This window comes from Homo sapiens, chromosome X (genome assembly GCF_000001405.40).
Source record: "Homo sapiens chromosome X, GRCh38.p14 Primary Assembly".
NCBI classification, from domain to species: domain Eukaryota; kingdom Metazoa; phylum Chordata; class Mammalia; order Primates; family Hominidae; genus Homo; species Homo sapiens.
The window spans coordinates 133,563,220-133,583,462 of NC_000023.11; the positions used below are offsets into that span (position 1 = coordinate 133,563,220).

At 40.5% G+C, this 20,243-nt stretch overlaps 1 protein-coding gene across 4 annotated transcripts in view, besides 1 other annotated feature; it reads right to left on the reverse strand.

The window, feature by feature from the left end:
* GPC3 (glypican 3) overlaps positions 1-20,243 on the reverse strand; it is a 449,850-nt gene that overhangs the window by 27,475 nt on the left and 402,132 nt on the right. The gene's annotated exons all lie outside the window — the stretch shown is intronic.
* Positions 15,715-16,216: an enhancer, noted in NCBI's record as "NANOG hESC enhancer chrX:132712962-132713463 (GRCh37/hg19 assembly coordinates)". NCBI's record gives its function as "activates a minimal SCP1, AML or CMV promoter by ChIP-STARR-seq in primed H9 embryonic stem cells {active_cell/tissue: H9 hESC(primed)}" and the evidence as "EXISTENCE:reporter gene assay evidence [ECO:0000049][PMID:30033119]".

Sequence of the window (20,243 nt, forward strand, 5' to 3'; positions counted from 1 at the left end):
ACAAAAGAGCTGGATTTTGTTTGTTTTAGAGAAGGGATCTCTCTCTGCCACCCAGGCTGGAGTGTAGTGGCGTTGATCATGGCTCACTGACACCTCAAACCCCTGGGCTCAGGCGATCTTCCTGAGTAGCTGGGACTAGGCCTTAGAGCTGTTTTGTTGAATTCAACTTTCTATTTTAGAAAGGCAGTTCAACTGACTTGTGTCAAGATAGTTATACTGAGCTTTTAATATACATACTTGTACTTAGTGATAAAAACATTAGAAACAATCAGATTTATACATTTTGCTCAAAAGAGAAAATAAAAGATTATAGATAATAGCTAAATCTAAAGATATTAACTATTTTCTTGCATTAAGTTCCAGCAACTATTTTGCAATGCCAGATCCTAGATTTTCAGATATAAATCAACTTGTTGCTCCTCATAGCTTTATTACTGATGAAAAACAAGCCAGCACATGGAGCATTTCTGAGATAACAAAATTCCAATACTTGCTTTTTCAGACTACTTGGCTCTTCATTTTCTGAAAAGGTTTTCCCAAATTTTAATCCTCCATAACCAGGACCCCAGTCCCAGGTATTAATGAATGTTTTATTTAACCAAGCTAAGCCCTATTTCCCATTTCCAGTTGTGAGAAGGGGTGGGGCCCTAGCCAACTATTTCATAAGGCTGTATTTCCCACTCCCAGCCTTCGCCTAGAAGTATTTTGGAAAGAGTGTGCTGGAGAGCTTAGGCCAACTCCAAATTATGAAATCATAACCAAGCAGAGGAGTTAGGGAACTGAAAGGGGTCCTAGGATCAAGTCTGGGATTCAGGCACAAACTAGAGTGATACGCCACTGTTAGTTTGGTCTGGGCCTATTTACCAGTCTTTAACTCTGCCACCAGCCCATTGGTCTTTTAAGAGAGAGGAGAGATGGATGCACAGAAGTGATATGGATCTGTACCCACCAAGAAGCATTGTTATGCTTCTATCTGGGACAAAAATTGAGAATCAGGACTAGTGTGTTTTTGTTCCCCTCTTGATGTCATTTTCATTATAGTCCTTCCATATCCTCAGAAGAGATTTGTTGACTTCATGCTGTCTTATAGCTGATCAGGGCAACCTTCTTGGGCTGGCAGCGTTGTGTCAGTACCCAGTCCTCCCAACATGTTCCTTTCCCTCATCAAAATTTGAGGCTTGAACCCCATTTCTGCATGGCCCTGTGCTTTGTTTAAACGACAATGGGTGGTCATGAGCAAGTCAGAGACTCTCATCCCTTTCTAGTGATGCACCCTGTGTACACACACTCTAGGAGTATGATATAGATCAGTGAGAGAGGTGGGTGGTGTGGTGGTAAAAGTTCTAGACTTGGAACCAGTAAACACAGCCATCAACTTTGGCTCTACTGCATACCAATTTTGATTTGGGGTAAGTTATATAACTTCCCTGGGCCCTAGTTTCCTCACCTATAAAACAAAATTGCTGTAAGGATATGTGAAAGCATTGGCATGGTGTCTGGCACACAGTAGGTGCTGATTAAGTGTAAGCATTCCATGAAAAGGTGAACAGGGATGGAAAATTCCTGACCTCCATCGGCCCTCATGATATAAAATGACTTCCAAAATCTTATGCACTTTAACTGTGCATGCCAATGGACCAAACCTACAGAAACTTTAACTCTTACATAGATTTTAATCTCTCTAAAGTAACAATTTACAAATTCTTCTTTCTCTCAAGGATCTTTCTGGCACAATCAATAGAAATATGCTAGTAATAAAAATCACAAGAAGAATGGAAGATGAACAATCAATAGATCCACTATGAAAATATCAGGCAGCTGCTCTTCTTTCAACTGGTTCAAAGTTGCTAAGTCTTCATGCTGGTGTCTCCTTTTTAAACAAATATGTTTCTGCAGATGGTTTATATCCTTTCCATTAAACTGTGGGATTTCACATGTATGGGAGGTGCTAGGCAAAGATGCAGAAACTGTTGCATCTTTAATACCCCAGCATAGTAGAGTCTGGCTTTTTCAACGCCCACTGCCCCATCCCTCCTCAACAGCTGCTCTCTCCTGACCCCCGCAATAGCCCAGAAGGAATGAATAAAAGCATACCTTGGGAGCAGTTGTCACTTCTCTGCTCAAAAGTCACCAATGCCTCACAACTGTTCACAGAATTCAGCCCAAACTCTTTGGTTCTTCTGTGTCTTCCTTTCTCCTACAGAGCAGGTGCTGTATATATAGCCTCTTTATTCTCACTGTGCCTAACACTGTGCTAGGCATGAAGGAGATGCTCAGTAAATATCTGTGAGTTGAACTGAAATAACTGGCTGCATTGAATTCTTGCTCTCTCTCTCTCTCATCACCTTCTTTTCATTCCTCGTGCCTTCCCAAGTTAATGGTGATGAAAGTAGGTTCCTGTGCCATCAACAAGACCACTTTTATTATATGCATGCAACTGACTAAGGAGGAACTTGGGAAACTTCAAAGGTCCTCATGAACAATGGTTAAAGGGCTCATCCCCAAAGGACTTTTGTAACTGTGGAACCCTTAATAGAGTTATGCTTTTTGGTAGAACTGGGCTATGAAATAATTGGAAGTAAGAAGGAAAAAGAATTCCTGGGATGCCACAGGGCAGAATAGGGAGAGTTTGAGGAAGAGACAGACCTCAATTCAAATCCAAGCTCTACCACTTGCCAGCAGTAAGACTTCACTTCTTTAAGCCCTAATTTTATCATCTCCAAAGTTGTAAAAATTACCTCCCCAACAAAGTTGCCAAGAGAATTAAATGACAGTGTTTATGTAAAGTTTTTCATATAAGGCTTGGTATTTAATGGGACCCCAATAAGTATTTGTTGATCAAATTGGAAGAGTGACTTTAATTTTTCTAAATAAAGCAGTCAGGTCCATGAACAGATTGGCCATGGAACTTCCTTTTAAGCACAATTGAGCTTTACACATAGAACTTGTCAGGTTCCAACATGATATCACCATAATGTGCACTGCTGGCCCATTAGATACCTCCAAAGACTGCCATATGTTTGGATGATATTGCCGATTCCAGCAAGATGGCTAGACCATTTGTCTGGAGAACAGGAGCCAGGGGAGGGAGTGATGGATTCAGACATGCAGCTCAGGAAATATCATCTACCTCCAGACTCCAGTAGGGTGGTCCTACTCTGGAGAGGACATGTAAGGCTTGACCTATATTGCAGGCACTTCTGTTCATAGCATGAGACATTAGGGCTTGTTTGGCTTTTCTTTTCTTTTTTTAAATAAAAGTTCTATTCACATGGTGGTGATAGAGAAGTCAAATGAACTGGCATTAATACTTGCCTCTCCACCCTTCCAAAATCTTTAGCTGTACTGTTACCAAGCCTGAAAAACCTACAAAGATCACATAGAGTATCACATTGAACATAACATACATGTATACCTGCAGGTGTTCTATGCAAATAAAATATTCACCAATTGGTTTGAATTGGGGAAGGTGAGCAGAATCCAGGATAAAGTATGGCCCCAGGTATCTTCCTCCTACAGACAGGACCTCATCCCCTCAGCTTTATCCTACTTTTCATCACCAGATACACAGAGCCCAAGGAGACTAATACTAATGGGCCCTGTCATTTAGCTCAAGCCTGGCTTCTAGGCTAGAGAAAGAGATTTGTTCAAAGTGATGAGCAATTAACAAAAACAAAAGCCTTAACATCTGTCCAGACATCAACAGATCTCAAGTAGATAGGGAAGATTAAATAAAAATTTAAAAGGAATCTTTCCCTTTCCCTCTACCAGCTTCCAAACTTCATTGACCCTCAAGCAGGAATTGCCGTAAGAGTCAGAAGGCAGAGGAAAGGCTGATGAGTATTTCTCCAATGTTCCTCCCACACTGATGCCAGGAGGAAGCTCTAAAAAAGGCATTCTTGTAGACAAGTACTTTCCATTCATTCAAATACTTATAGGGTGCCTCCTGAGTAACAGACCATGGGTTGAATGCTGAGTTTCCCAGGTGAGCCCTGTCTTGCTCCCATCCTAGGGTGTTCAAGGTTAAGGAAGATGTATATCTATGACATAGTGTTGCATATCCAATCTGTCTCACCCACTAGGCCCTTACCATGGCTCTAAGAAAACAGCAACAACAACACAGAGTAATGTCCCACACGTTTTAAAATTATGGCTAAATTTCTGAATGTGGTCAAATCACACCCCATGAACAGCATCCTCTGGTTCTGATAGAATATTAAAGAGCTGCATATTTTCCTATGAAGGACAAAACTCATATCCCCCTTGGCAGTGAAACCAATGGCCTGTGGCAGAGCCCTTTTAGTAGGCTGCTTTTCTTCCATTTGAGTTCTCTGATCCAGGTTTGAATTTATCCTTGCCTTAGCTCCTGAAAATGTGGTCAAAATCTATCGACCAGTCCCTCTTGGCACTCAAGACATTTTTCCTTTACCCTAGGAGTATTTTTCTTAAGGAAATATAGAAATGCCGTTTGATTGAAAGTCAACTTGGAATTCAATATACTCCAGGTATCTGCCAAAAAGAGAATGGAGAGAGGCCCAAATCCAACAAATAAAAACTAAGGCCCACTTATAACACATGCTTTCCTCTTGACTTTACCAGAGGGGCAGTTTAGGAGAAAACAAAGAATTTCTCATTATATACACATAAAATATTTAATGATCTTTTGAATGTACCAAAACCTTTATGATACCTTTCAAAGACACTTTGAAAAAAGAGGAAGTCATATTTTGGCCAAGGATAAACAAACAAACTACCAAACTAGCTGAACTTGGCTGAAAACTTAACAATGCAAAATCTGAATGGATTCAAGTCCTCAGCAAAGGATGAGCTCCAGACTCTACAAAGGAGAGCGAAATCCTCAGGGAATAATCAGAGAGCTGGAATGAAGCACCAAGCACAAAATTTGCATTGCTTGACCTGACTTTTAATTTAGAAACAGAGAAGGACAGCTCCATTTTGTAGGCTGACAAGGGAGCCATTGGAAGGCAAGTGACAGACACAAAAGATCACCTCCTAAATAGCTGGAAAACACTTTGCACATCTCCACCACATTCCCATTACTAAAGGGGTACCTATTTACTCCACAAACATTCACATAGTACCACCCTGGGCCAAGTGCAATGCTAAGTGCTGAGAGTACAAAGTTGAACAAGATGTCGTCTCTGTCCTCAAGGACAGCTACAATTGAGAGCTGTGTAGGTTCTTAGCATACCTAATCTCATTTAATTCTTACAAGAATACTATGAGACAGGTATCATTGTCTCCATTGTACAAATTTAAGGTCTCAGATTCGGAGAAGAATTTTGCCCAAAGCCACACAATTCATAAGTGGCTATGCTGTTATCTATTGTGTTACAGTGTCTCAACAAGGTACAGAGAAAGAGAGGAAGTTTAGAGGAGACAGTAATCACCTCTGGATTAGGTAGGAGTGTTTTAGGATCAGAAAAGACATTATGGAGGAAGGAGCATTTAAACTGAGGCTGGAAAGCATGGGTAGCATTTGGATATATAGAGACTGAGAGGAGGAGTAAGTGGAAGGAGAGGCAAAAGTATTCTAGATAGAAAAAAATGGTATATAGAGAGGCACAGAGGCATGGAAAAATGGAAAATGCTCAGGAAATAGTTCAGCTGGACTATGTGAGAAGAAGCAAGAGATTAGACTAAAGGCCGGGCAAGGTGACTTACACCTGTAATCCTAGCACTTTGAGAGGTGGAGGCAGGTGGATTGCTTGAGCCCAGGAGTTCGAGACCAGCCTGGGCAACATGGCGAAACCCTGTATCTACAAAAAATAAAAACCTTAGCATGGGCGTGGTGGCGATGCCTGTAGTCCCAGCTACTTGGTGGGGCTGGAGCAAGAGGATCACTTGAACCCAGGAGGTTGAGGCTGCAGCGAACCATGATCACGCCACTGCACGCCAGCCTGGGGGACAAAGTGAGACCTTGTCTCACAAAATAAAAAGATTAAACTGAAAAGGCAGACGAAGATGAACTTGCAGAGGGCCATGAATATGTGAATCAAAAATGAAAAAATGAATGAACAAGCCTGAAGCAGTTGCACACTGCAGATGAGCTTTCCACTTTGGAGCCATAATCCTTTAGAAGCTGCTATGTCCCTGCCCTCTTTTTGTCTCCAGCCAAATGCCAGGAAGATTTCAAGACCAACTATGGGACACTGAGGGCAGGGGGTGGGTCTGTGTGTGACTGATTTGGAAACCATGGTCCCAGTTCCTGGAAGCTGGGGACAAGAGCTGCTTTTCCTTAGAGGAAGTCCACTGCTATGAACCCTGTTTATCATTACTGTCCCTGAGAGCTTTAACTGAAGTAAAGACACAACTTCAATTAAAACAGCCCTGAAGCATCATTCCATAAATTCTTCTCTAACCAGACAGGCTTTATATTTTTCTGAGCAAAACTAACATTTGGAAATTAAATGTTATATTTCAAATCACTCTATGCTGGATGGACGTTGGTATCTATTTTACAGTTAAATGTGAGACACATGTGGCCACAGGCATCTATCCATGTAGTGTCCCTATAAATACAAACCGTAAGCTCTTAAGAGCAATTTCCATCTTGCATAATGAGTATTAGCAAATGGAAGTTATTTCTAGATTATACAAATTTTGGTTATGCTAGAAACATCAGCCTTAATACATCTATATAGAAAAAGAATGGGTTTTTTTTTTTTTGAGATGGAGTCTTGCTCTGTCACCCAGGCTGGAGTGCAGTGGCGTGATCTTGGCTCACTGCAACCTCCACCTCCTGGGTTCATGCCATTCTCCTGACTCAGCCTCCCGAGTAGCTGGGACTACAGGCACCGACCACCATGCCTGGCTAATTTTAAATATTTTTAGTAGAGACGGGGTTTCACCGTGTTAGTCAGGATGGTCTCGATCTCCTGACCTCGTGATCCATCCGCCTTGGCCTCCCAAAGTGCTGGGATTACAGGCTTGAGCCACCGCGCCCGGCCTGTTTGTTTGCTTTTGTTTTTGTGTTTTGAAACAGAGTTTCATTCTTGTTGCCCAGGCTGGAGTGCAATGGCGTGATCTCGGGTCACCGCAACCTCCGCCTCTTAGGTTCAAGCGAGTCTCCTGCCTTGGCCTCCCGAGTAGCTGAGATTACAGGCATGTGCCACCATGCCCGCCTAATTTTGTATTTTTAGCAGAGACGGGGTTTCTCCATGTTGGTCAGGCTGGTCTCAAACTCCCGACCTCAGGTGATCCGCCTGCCTCGGCCTCCCAAAGTGCTGGGATTACAGGCATGAGCCACTGTGCCCAGCAGAAAAAGAATGTTTTAAAGCAGAGGTATAAACAAATATGAGATGAAATGGGCACATCTGTGGACGACTCATTCTAAGTTGAACAAAATAATTCCATGAAAGGCATCCATTCTTTAACCTCCCAGCAGAATTAGACCCCTTTGAGTCTGGGCTTCCTTCTTTTCTCAGCATGAGACCCACTGCCTTCACTAGCTTGATTTACTGAAGTAGAATTAGATACACAGTCTAGGTCCAAGAGCCTGGTCTTTGGCCCCATGACCAAATGCTTAAAGTGATTCACCATTCCATGTTGGTTCTTGGCCATCTTTATATTGTTATAGCCAGTGTACCCAATTTTATTACTCAGAGACAGGATATTCTGTGGTTGGATTTTAAGAGTGCTCATATAAGCACTCAAAAAAAAATCTCACAGGAGAAATGGTTCTCCTGTGTTTCAATCTTAAACCTACCTACTGTGAAAGTCTGTGATTTTATTATCGCACAGCTTTATAAACTTATACATATGTGTATGGCATAAGTATCATGAGAATTTAGAAGCATAAAAAGAGATCAAAATTTTTCTTTTTGTCTTTAAACTCACATCTTGGTTGATCATAATATTTTTATTTCTTTGATGTTTATTTGTATTACCTTATAAATCTACAAGTGAGAACGGTTTCTCTGACAAAAGGCAATATTGAACACCATTTAAAATAGGAAATTAGTTCCAGAATGTATTTTTTGAGGCATGGCCAGCTTTCAAAAATGGCATAAATGATACCAACATACAGTTAAGCATCACATTTACTTCAGCCAACCACTCACACTCAGCCATTGTGCTCTGCGCATTTAGGTTGGCTACTTTTTTTGGGGTGTCCTGATAGCCATTTTCTTTTTTTTTTGAGATGGATTCTCGCTCTGTCGCCCAGGCTGGAGTGCAGTGGCGCGATCTCGGCTCACTGCAAGCTCCGCCTCTGGGGTTCACGCCATTCTCCTGCCTCAGCCTCCTGAGTAGCTGGGACTACAGGCACCCACCACCACGCCCAGCCTGATAGCCATTTTCTAATAGCTAATCTGATTAGGTTACCAAAGAGGCTTAGAACACTAGTCAGATGGGCTTTTTGTATTTAACATATCCGGTCCCTATGGCTTCAGTGACAGTCTAACAAACCACCCTGTTCTGATATTTAAATGCCCCTCATCCGTGCTGGCTTACATCAGTGGCCTGAGCTTGGGAGGGGTGGCAGAAAGATTGAAAACTATAGGTCACTTCAGATAAGCCACAAAATAAAAAATCTCCTTGTGGATAATTAAGTGCTGCCTCTATGGTTCTAAAGGACAGTGGAATTGGAATGTCAAGAGGAGGACTTTCTGTAGTTCTGTTCTTAATCCTGAGATCTGAATGGTGATTATGAATCACATGTTCTTTTCTGAAGGACATGGGGGAAGGGATTATTGACTGAATCTTGTTTTAAAATATGAAATATAAGCTGAAAAAGTACTTTATTATAGCTTCATATTAATCCTGTAGATAAAATTAACCGGTTTATAGCAGAATACACATTCTTCTCAAGTGCACATGGAACATTCCCCAATATAGACCTTAAACTAAGCCATAAAACAAGCCTCAATAAATTAAAAATGATGGAAATCATGTCGAGTCTATTCTTCAGTCACAATGGAGGGAAATTAGACATCAATAAAGAAAACTATTTGAGAAGTTCACTAATATGTGGAAATTACAGAATACAATCCTACATAAATATCAGTCAAAGAAGAAATCACAAGGAAAATTAGAAAATACTTTGATATAAGTGAAAATGAACATACAACATACCAAGGCTTTTGGAATGCAGGGAAGTAGTCCTCAGAGGAAAATTTATGGCTATGATCACCTACATTAAACAAGAAGGAAGATTTCAAATCAATAACTCAAGCAAACTAAACCCAAAACAACCAGAAGGAAGAAAATAATAAGGATTAGAGGTAAAGATAATAAAATAGAGAACAGAAAAACAGCAGGGAAAATCAACAAAACTAAAAGTTTGTTATTTGAAAAGATCTACAAAATTGACCAACCTATAGCAAGACTGCATAAGAAAAAAATGAAATTACAAGAAGACCTAAATTACTAAAAACAGAGATAAAAAAGGGACATTACAACTAACTGTAAAGAAATAAAGAAGGATTATAAGGGAATATTATAAATAACTGTAAACCAAAAATTAGATAACCTGGATGAAATAGACAAATTTCCTAGAATTACATGAACTACCAAAACTGACTTAAGAAGAAATAGGAAATCTGAATATACAAAGCCCAGGCCCAGATGGCTTCAGTCCATCAAATGCTGAAAGAAGAATCAACAACAATCATTCACAACTCTTCCTGAAATAGAAGAGGAAGAAATACTTTTTACTTACTTGATGGGGCCAGCATTACTGTGATACCAAAGCTAGGCAGAGATATCACAAGAAAAGAAAACTACAGACCAATATATATTATAAATATAAACACAAACGTTCTCAACAAAATATGAACAAAGCAAATCCAGCAACAGGTTGAAAAGGTTATGTATCATGACCAAGCGGGATTTATCCCAGGAATGCAAGGTTGGTTTAACATACAAAATGTGAACAATGTATATACCATATTAATAGAATAAAGAAAAAAAAATCCTACATGATTATCTTGATAGAAATAGAAAAAGCATTTGACAAAATTCAGCATCCTTTCATGATGAAAACACTTAAACTAGAAATAGAAGGAAACTCCCTCAGCCCAATACAGGGCATCTATAAAAACCTCAGAGCTATTAATAATTTACTTAAGAGTGAGTGAATGAAAGCATTCCCTTTAAGATCATGAGCAAGACAAAGATATCAGTTCTTGCCTATTCTGTTCAACATGGTACTGAAGGTTCTAGCCAGTGTAAGCAGGCCAGCAAAACAAATCAAAGGCATCCAGATTGGAAAGGAAGAAGTAGAACTGTCTTTATTTGAAGACAACATGATCCTGCATGTAGAAAAACCTAAAGAAATCACAAAGTCTATTAGAACTAATAAATGAATCCATTGAGGTAGTAGGATAGAAGATCAGTATACAAAAATCAATTGTATACAAAAATCAAATATATATAGACTTGCAATAAACTCTGAAAATTAAATTAGAAAAGTGATTCCACTTACAACAGTATCAAAAAGAATAAAATACATAGGAATAAGTTTAACAAAAAAGTAGAAAACCTATACTCTGAATAATACAAAACATTGTTAAAGGAAATTAAACAAGAATTAAATAAATGTGGATGGAAATGTGTTTTGTTCCCACCTTTTAGCTATGATAAATAAGGCTGCTTGTTTTGTTCCTACTCTTTGTTCCCACTTTTTGGCTATAAACAAGTAGCCTTATCTATAATAGCCAAAAAGTGGGAAGAAAACACATTTCCATCAACTGATGAATAGTTAAGTAAAATAATACAGCCATACAATGGAATGTTATTAAGCAAAACCCCACAATGAACTACTGATACATATTTCAACATGGGTCCATCTTGAAAATGTTATGCTAAGTGAAAGAAGTCACAAAGGACTACATATAGTATGATTCCATTTATATGAAATTTCAAGAATAGGCAAACCCAAAGAGACAGAAAGTAGATTAGTGCTTATCTAGAGTTGAGGGGGTTAGGAGGGTTGGAGAGTGGTGGCTGAGGGGTAAAAGGTTTTTCTGGGGGTGGTGAACATGTTCTAAAATTGATTGTGGTAATCACTGCACAATTCTGTGAATGTACTAAAAACCACTGAATTCTACATTTAAAAATGGTTGAATTGTATGGTTATGTGAATTATATCCCAATGAAGCTATTGAGAAAAAAAGAGAGAGAGAGAGAGACCAGTTCACCAACCCACATTTAAAATGATATTTTATAGAAAGCCATATTAATATAAGCAACATTCTATATAAAGGGGAGATTATAAATTCTCATTGGCCACATGATATTGACCAAAGATAACGACTGGTTCAAAGTTATTTCAGTCTTTCTGGTTATTTCCTACTAGACATCTTTATGAACAAAATTATATTTTTCAGCTAAGGTTGTAGGTTTTTCAAACTGATATCTTCTTTATGGAACATCTCCAATCTTTGTCTTGCCAGCAAAGCTGACTGTGAATTATGTGATTATGTCTGGGCCTAAGGAGAAGAGGAGTATTTAACTAGATCAGATCTGTTTATATTTTTACAAAAGTTCCAGAAGACCAAATGAATTTAGTCATATCGCATCCCACACACTCCATCTGCATTCTTATCTTTACTGTCTTTGCTGGGAGAATGAAATGTAATGAGGCTTAAGGGTTGGCCAGCGGAGCACAATGGCATGGTTAGAATGAACAGTTTGGGTCCCTTTCTGCTGCATGCTGGTCACTACTCTTTAGCTGACCTCAACATTGGCTGAAGCACTTCCTGTGGGTCTCAGCTGGGTGCTGACTGAAGGCTTACAAGGCATAGACAGGAGTACCAAGAAGCAGCAGAAAGGGAAGTGGTAGAGCAGAGGCTACTATTAATATTTCATGGCCTTTGGAGCCAAAAAGGCATGGGTTTGAATTTTGGCTGGACCATTTATTAGTTGTGTGACCTTAAACCATTTACTTAATCTTTTTACTTAATCTCTCTGAGCTTTATATCCCTTATCTATAAAATGGGAGTTATATTACCAATGTTCCATAGGGCCTTGTAGAGATTAACTGTGGTAACACTCACTTAGACCAACGTCAGCATAGAGAAAACAATTAGCAGTAAGTGCTATTATGTTTCTGACTATTATTATTATCATTATTTTAATCAGCAATAATCATGTGTGGATAAACCTCATTGGCTACAATACTGCTACTATGTGAAGATTATTATTACAGCCAGAATGAGATTCACTCCAACATTCATTTTGACTTCCCATAACATGCAATTCTCTAACATACCAAAGACCTACTAAAAGCCAGGCTTCCTCATGAGTATGCATTTTCAAATTTAGGGATGAGCGGAAGGGATACTGAATAATTCTAAATGTGTTATTTTAGCTGGGGCACTGGACCGAAGAACAGCACATGGGGCCTCTAGCCTGGCTGCTTGCTCAGTCTCTCAGTACCAAGATTATGCAAGTTTCCAAAGCTACCTTCAGAATAAGCTGTCCAAACCAACTGCTGCCCCAGCAAATGATAGTCTAGGATATACTGAGGCCGGATGGTCATGGGGCACAAGAATGTACTGTGGATCAATAATTATAGCTCTCAAGTACAGCACAGAGGAGTAGACCTAGATCTCCTAAGCACATATAGTGACTTACTTGAATACCACATGCTCTTCAATCCCTCCTTTTCGGGTCCAGGCTCAGGCACCCAGAAGAACTATGATTCATGGGAGAGATATGGGGAAATGTATATAAAGAGAGGGAGAAAAATCTTCTGGGAATCCAGACTAGTCCCACCCAACTGAGTGGAGCAATGTACTTTCAGCTCCTCTCTATAGCACTTAACCCTAAAAGGCTACAGAGGCGCAGAACTCTTCTTGCTCAGGCTATTCTGATTCTGAGCATCAACTCCATGGAAAAAGTCAGAGGCTATTTACTAACACAAGAGGATTGTTGTCATCATCATCAACAAATACTTTTCAGCTATGTGTGCTGGGTCATACAGCATGGTGGAGAGGGAAATGAATTTGACATCAGAAAGATCTGGGCTCCAATCCTAGCTCTGTTTTTTTGTTTGTTTGTTTGTTTGTTTTTTCCTGAGATGGAGTCTCACTGTGTCACCTAGGCTGGAGTGCAGTGCTGCGATATTGGCTCACTGCAACCTCCTCCTCCTGGGTTCAAGTGATTCTCGTGCCTCATCCTCCTGAGTAGCTGGGATTACAGGCGTGTGTCACCACACTTAATTTTTGTATTTTTAGCAGAGACGGGGTTTCACCATGTTGGCCAGGCTGGTCTCGAGCTCCTGACCTCAAGTGATCCACCCGCCTCAGCCTCCCAAAGTTCTGAAATTACAGGCATGAGCTGCTGTGCCCAGCCCAATCCTAGCTCTTAATATCAATTGACTTTGGGCAAGTTATTTAATTTAACTCTCTGAAACTCAGTTTTCTCCTCTCTAAGAGCTAATATTAAAGTCTACCTTACAGGGTTGTAATGAAGATTTAATCAGATGATGAATTTCAAAGTTATTAGTAAATAACAATCTGCTAGTTGGTTATTGTTATTGTTATGTATAGAATGGTGGAGATAAGGGCTTCAGAAGAGAACGAGATGTCATGGATAGCTGAAGCCATCAAGAATATGTTTTGTGGAGGAGGAGGGTCTTGAAGTATTGGCAGGCTTCAGGACAGAAGAATTGAAGACATCACAAGCAGATGTAATGGCCTGAGTTGGGGTAAAGACATGTTTATGGGAATGGCATGTTCAGGCAAAAATTGCACATTTGTAGTTTATTTATAGCTGTTCCAGAGGACACTATGGGATAATTAGCAAATCCATGGTCTCATGATCTGAGTTCAGGGTTAACAGCAAATATGGCGGACAGGTCTGAAAACCTCAGCTGTTCAGTCCTCAGCTCACCTTGACTCTAACGTTGAGCTACATGTTCAGGCCATGGGGCATGGACATTCATCCCCTCCTGGCTAAAGTACCTGACTCTTGGTAGTGCTCACACTGCAATACTGACACAGCCCAGATAGCAAGAGAGTCAGACATGAAGCTAAGATGAAAATGGCAACACGTCTATTAGTCATTGAAATAGCCTGTTCCTTAAAGTAATTAAGCTCCTATAATACTCAAATAAACACGGCATGAGAAAGCGCTTTGCAAAGCATGAAGTTATTAAACAAATTGCATAAATATATACATTTACATACACATACATACCCATAGATGTATATAGTCTAATTATTAAAACAAGAAAGGGTTAATCGTTAGAAAAAACAGCACAATCTAATGTGATGTATTCTCTTAAAATTCAATACCCTTCCTAACCTTGCCCTTTTAATATTCAGGGTGGAGTGGGTGGAAGTGTTTTTATTACAGCATTCATCAAATGAGGTGCTCTGGGGGAGTCTGGGAAACTAGCCACCCCTCAAACTATCTCCCTTTTAATTTTAAGAATGCTGGATGTATTTTATATTTGAAGATGCATTTGGAAATCATTTAGGTCATCATTTGGACAGGCTTGTTTTAATTCCTATTCCTACTGATGTTTGCCCCTGTGAGTAGAACAGATGTGGTAAGGGCAGGAAGGATTTATACACATCGGGCTTCTTCCAAGAACGATAAATCCTTTGGTTTCCAAAACATTAAAGATGAACTGATAAACCCTAGCATGGGTGCCTAGTGACCTGGCTGGCTCTATCCATAGTCCTCCAAATGACTCAGGTGTGGGTTTTCAGCTTTTATCATTCTAACACTCTCCCTTAGTGCCCTTGATTGTGTTAGCTCTTCAGTATTCTATACCCCTCTGTGTATCTTCTTCTTCTTCTACAAAACAAATAATAATGGTACCCACACCACAGCGTTGCTGGGAGGATATAATGAGTTTATCCACACAAAATGCTTAAAACTGTGCCGGGCACATAGTAAGCACTCAAAAAATATGAGCTATTATTATTGTGCCAACCCTATCATTACCTCCTCCATGCTTTCTCTCTGAATGGCACTGGCATCTGCCCATTTGCCCAAGGTGGAAACAGTGACCTCATCCTCAACAACTCTTTCTCCCTCACTCTGCCACATCTAAATAGACAGGTCTTGCTGATTCTTCTTCTTAAATCTGCATCTTCATCCACTCCCCCAGAGAGTTTTCCAAAATGCAATTCTGACCATGTCAGCCTTCTCCCTTCACTTGCACTCACTTGCCGCCCTCAAACTCCCAACATGCTTACAACCTTTCTCTGGCTGGGCATGGTGGCTCATGCCTGTAATCCCAGCACTTTGGGAGACTGAGGTGGGTGGATCGTTTGAGCCCAGGAGTTTAAGACCAGCCTGGGCAACATGGCAAAATCTCATCTCTACAAATAAAAAAAATTAACCAGGCACATGCCTGTAGTCCCAGCTACTCAGGAGGCTGAGGTGAGAGAATTGCTTGAGCACCAGAGTTTGAGGCTGAAGTGAGCCGTGATTGTGCCACTGCACTCCAGCCTAGGTGACAGAGGGAGACCCTGTCTCAAAACAAAAAACAAAACAAAACAAAACAGAACAAAACACCAAACCAAACCAAAGGTTTGAAGGCAGCAAACCAGAATGCTGCCTTCAAGCCTTCAATCTTTTGGTGGTGTTTCCCTGTAGTGCTATGTTCAGAAGGATTAGGATGTCACATCTGGGCTCAGTGGAGTGGGGTGCTGTGATTATGAATGTCTGCTATGGAGAGGGATGGGGGTTGGGGAGGCTAATGGCCCATATGTTGTGAATTTATAGACCCTGCTACAGGATCAAGACCAAGCTCCTTAACAAGGCAGAGAAGGCCCTCATGATGTGACCCCTAACAAATCTTCCAGCCTCACCTCTTGCTTCTCTGTACTCTAGTCACACCAAAGTGCATGTCATTTTCAGAACCACCGTGCTCTTTCTCATCTCCAAGTCATTGCTCATACTATCCTGCCAGCCTACAATTTTCTTCCCTTTCCACCTGACCCCTACACATTGTTTCAGACTCAGCTCAGTTTCTGACGACCCAAGGCTGGGTGTGAAGCTTTACCTTTGTGTTTCCACAACTCCCTGTACATACTGCAATCAGTGCTTTAACCGCTTTACATTACAATGATCCAGTTAGGTGTCTGTGCCCTTCCCATTGCCCACCACCCCCCAAGACCCCCAACTACACTAGGAACTTCTATGGGCAGGTACTTTGCTTATTCATTTTTGTATGGCCAGGGCCATGCAACAAACACTTACTGAGCACCAATTAGGTCCCAGGCACTGGGAATTACCTGACCATCATGTTGGTAAATGCTTGAAGCATATTGACGGAGCACTCTGCCTAGGGCTAGGTGTCACTGAGGAAGGAGATGCATCTGAACTGAATTTTTCATTTTTATTTTTATTTTTTTGAGACATTCTCACCCTGTTGTCCAGGCTGGCTGGAGTGCAGTGGCACAATCATAGCTCACTGCACCCTTAACCTCCTGGGCTCAAGCGATCCTCTCACCTTGACCTCTGGAGTAGCTGGGACTACAGGCTCACACTACCACACCCAGCTAATTTTTTGTAGAGACAGGGTTTCACCATGTTGCCCAGGCTGGTCTCAAACTCCTGGGCTCAAGTGATCCTCCCACCTCGCCCTCCCACAGTGCCAGGATTACAGAAGCAAGCCACGACGCCCAGCCTGAACTGAGTTTTAAAGGTACAAAAGGGGAAACAAGTACGGGTTAACAGGTCAGCATGTGCAGAATATTAACAGCCACTATTTATGGGAACCTACCAAGGCATGGGCACTGGGCTAAGTGCTTTATGTATATTACAGATACAAGACTTTACAAAGGCCCAGGCACGCCTGAAGGAACAGAATAGCAAGTTTGGCAACAGTGAAAACTTTAAGGTAGTTGGAGCATAGGATGGAGTAGGGGTTAGTGAGAGAAAAGATTGGAGATGTAGGTTGGGGCCAGATTAGGAAAGGCTGAGCTAAGGGATTTGGTTTCACTACTCCTCATTTATGCCTAGAATTTAGGGACAGCAAGGAGAATGCCCTTATGACTCCAAGCTGGCTATTGGTGAGAAGACTACAACCTCTCCTCGAAGGAAGGCAGACTAACTTTCATTCCTTAAGTTGAACATGTTTCTAAACCCCTTGGAGGCACTGACCTTTAGCTGCTTTAGGCTAAATACAACTTGTGTATTTAGGTTTAGAAAGCCCCAGAGCTGAAAGAAATGTGCATGATTTCCTCAGATACTGCCCAAATCATTATTGTTGTTCTCCCAAAATATCCATCTTCTTTGTTCCAACTATCATTCCATATGAAGTGGTGTGTGGGGAGAAGGAAAGCTAGAACAAGAAAAACTAAATGGAGAGACATTCATGGCTCCATGCTCTAAAAATGCCTGAATCAAAAAGATATCAGTTCAGAAAGGTGCTATCTCTGCATGTGGACTAAAAATGATAAAGAATTTATGAACCCACAGGCATGAAATCCCTGGGTTCCTTTTCATTATCAATTTAGTCTTCTAGTGCTATGTGTCACAGACAGGTTCTGACATCTGCAGAAGCAGAGCACAGATGTTCTTACTGAACTGCTGCATATTTGTATAGAAAATCTCCAGTGATCCGACCACATTTTGGGAGAATCTCACTTCTTAGTCCTCTAGCAGTTGGTACTGTATGTGAGTATGAGTAATAATGTTGCCTCCCTGCACAAACAAGAAAGAAATGTTGAACAGGAGAGTGGGAGTGTGTTCCAAATTTAGCTTTCCTCCCAACCTCTGCCCATATGGTCGGTGGTTCAAAAAATGATTACTGAGCCAACAAAATGTAACCTGATATTAGGAGTTCCACTCGAACTCTATGAAGCCAAGGCTAATACCGGCACACGGTATACATTTGTCTTAATGCCATCTTCTACAGCGAGGCTGAACTCTAAAAGTGGTCCTCACCTGGGTGCTCCAGTGAATTGACCTGCAGGAATACCATTGAGGTTTGGGATGGGACTGATGAGATTTCCATCGGTTAGCAGAGGGATTTCAGAGGGAGCCCCCGAACCTCAACAGGGAATAAGAAGTTTTGAGGAAAAAAGTTTATGGATCTTACAGATCCAAGTTAAGAAAGTTTCCAAGTTTGGGATTCCTAGAAGTCAGTATCACTGAAAATGAGGGGCTCTTTAATTTGCCAGCATAACTTTGGAAGACAGAAATTTTCTCTCACTCATGGTAGCAAGAGCTATTGATTTAAACTTAGAAACTTTAAGGATAAACAAAGGAAAATAAATCCTCTAAATATATTGTCTTACCCAGTGGTGAGCTGGTAAATATTTAACAACTGGCTCTCAAAAAAAGGAAGTATGCATGTCAGCTTATTTTTAATTTTATTGGAATAAAGGATGTGCAGCACCTTACAATTTACAGATAAAAATATAAAATACTCTTCATTATAAATTTTATTTAGCCAATTAGTTCTCACAGAATGCTTTCATTGACTTTTGTTCAAGCTCTTGCAACTGGAGCCAAACTAGAGTTATGATCGATGAGCAAGTGTAGTTCCTACATGAATACTGGTTGATATATTGGAATACACTAAGAGGTGACACAAAAGTGAAATAACACTATTATTATTAGTGTTCCACTCCAATGGAGTCAGAACTTCACTCCATCAGTGATAGGAGCAACTTCTTTACTGAATTGGATAATAGTTTTCAAATACTGGAAGAATATTTCTTCAATTTTTTTGTGCTATTCACAATGTAATGGCTACAGAGACAACATGATTTTAAGTTTATTCTGTGCTATTAACATTTTCTCCTATCACTTTCTTAAGTCTAGAGTCTAGACAATCAACAAAACAATAAATCAAGCCCTGATTTGTAGTTTCTTCCTGATTTCTGTGGTGTAAGTATTTCTATCCTGGCCAGCTTTAAGCTACCAATGTGACCACACTGAACACAGAATTGCAAGAGTATATATTATTTCCACCACACATACACACACAATAGACATATGACCCTAAGAGTAGAGATAATTATAAAATGCAATAAAATAATTAGGATGTGATGAGTCTTCAGTGTTATTTTTGTTTGGTAGAATTTATTTCATTGTAAATTTATATAATTTAATTTTTTGTAATGGCCATGTTTAACAACTGACTCACAGGAATTCTGAAAATTTAACAATTGGCTCTCGTGAGCCAGTGCAAGCCAGCTCTAGTACACCACTGCCCTCACTCTATTTAGACTGCTTTTGAGTGTTTCCCACCATGAGATCCAAGGTGAGGAGGAATACAAGGCAGAGACACACAGAGCAGGCTACACCTCCCTACTCAATGTGTGGGCTACTGCTCTGCTATTTATTGCTAATCTGCAAGAAGATAAGTACAGACATTGAAAATAAGCACTTTGAAACTTTTATAGCAATCTGACAGAGATTTTTAGGTCTGTTGAATCTCATAATTAAAACGTGTGGCTTGTATTTTATAGGGTTTTTTTTGGTCATTTTCTTTTTCTGGTAATTTAGTTTTATTGTCTACAAAGATATTGGTCCATGACAGATTTGGGAGGAATGAAACAAACAAACAAACAAACTCTGGGTCCTTCATCATAGATAACTTGAGATGCACTGGTCTATTCTGTGTGGGCAGAATCAGAAGGGAGAGAGTGGTGCAGGGGATGAGTGTGAACTGGACAACCTTAATATTGACAATACAGCAATCAGCACTAACTGCTTGTAGCCGGGGGGAGGGCTCTGTCCTGGGTTTGCTTTTCTAACATGGGGCAGGACGGCCACAAGCCTGGAGATAATTGGGGAGAAATGAGAACTGGATTCTTGTAGTGGCAAAACAAATCTGGAGGCTGTGAATGACAGAAGATGTTGAAAAGAATTGCTCCCTGGAAAAGTCTCTGCCATTCGTAAGGATCCGTTTTCTTAGGAAAATAGTTGCAGAAAATCATAATTGGTGACATGTGCTCATAGACAAACAACCACAGAGATTCTCTTCTCCACTCCTCTTTCTTTCCCCCAGCCTGAAAAATGGCCTCATTGGTTTGCTCCACCATATTGATTCTCTTTTGTTCTATTTACATGTTTACATCATAAAAATTTAGCCCCTCAGAGCTATTCAGGACCCTGGAAGTCAAAAGTCCATCATGATGTAGGTATCTATCCACTCTCTGACACCTAAGCCCCATCCAGCCAATATTTCTTACTCTCTTTTTTTATTATTTTTATTTTTTTGAGATGCAGTCTCACTTGGTTGCCCAGGCTGGAATGAAGTGGTGCGATCTCAGCTCACTACAACCTCCACCTCCTGGGTT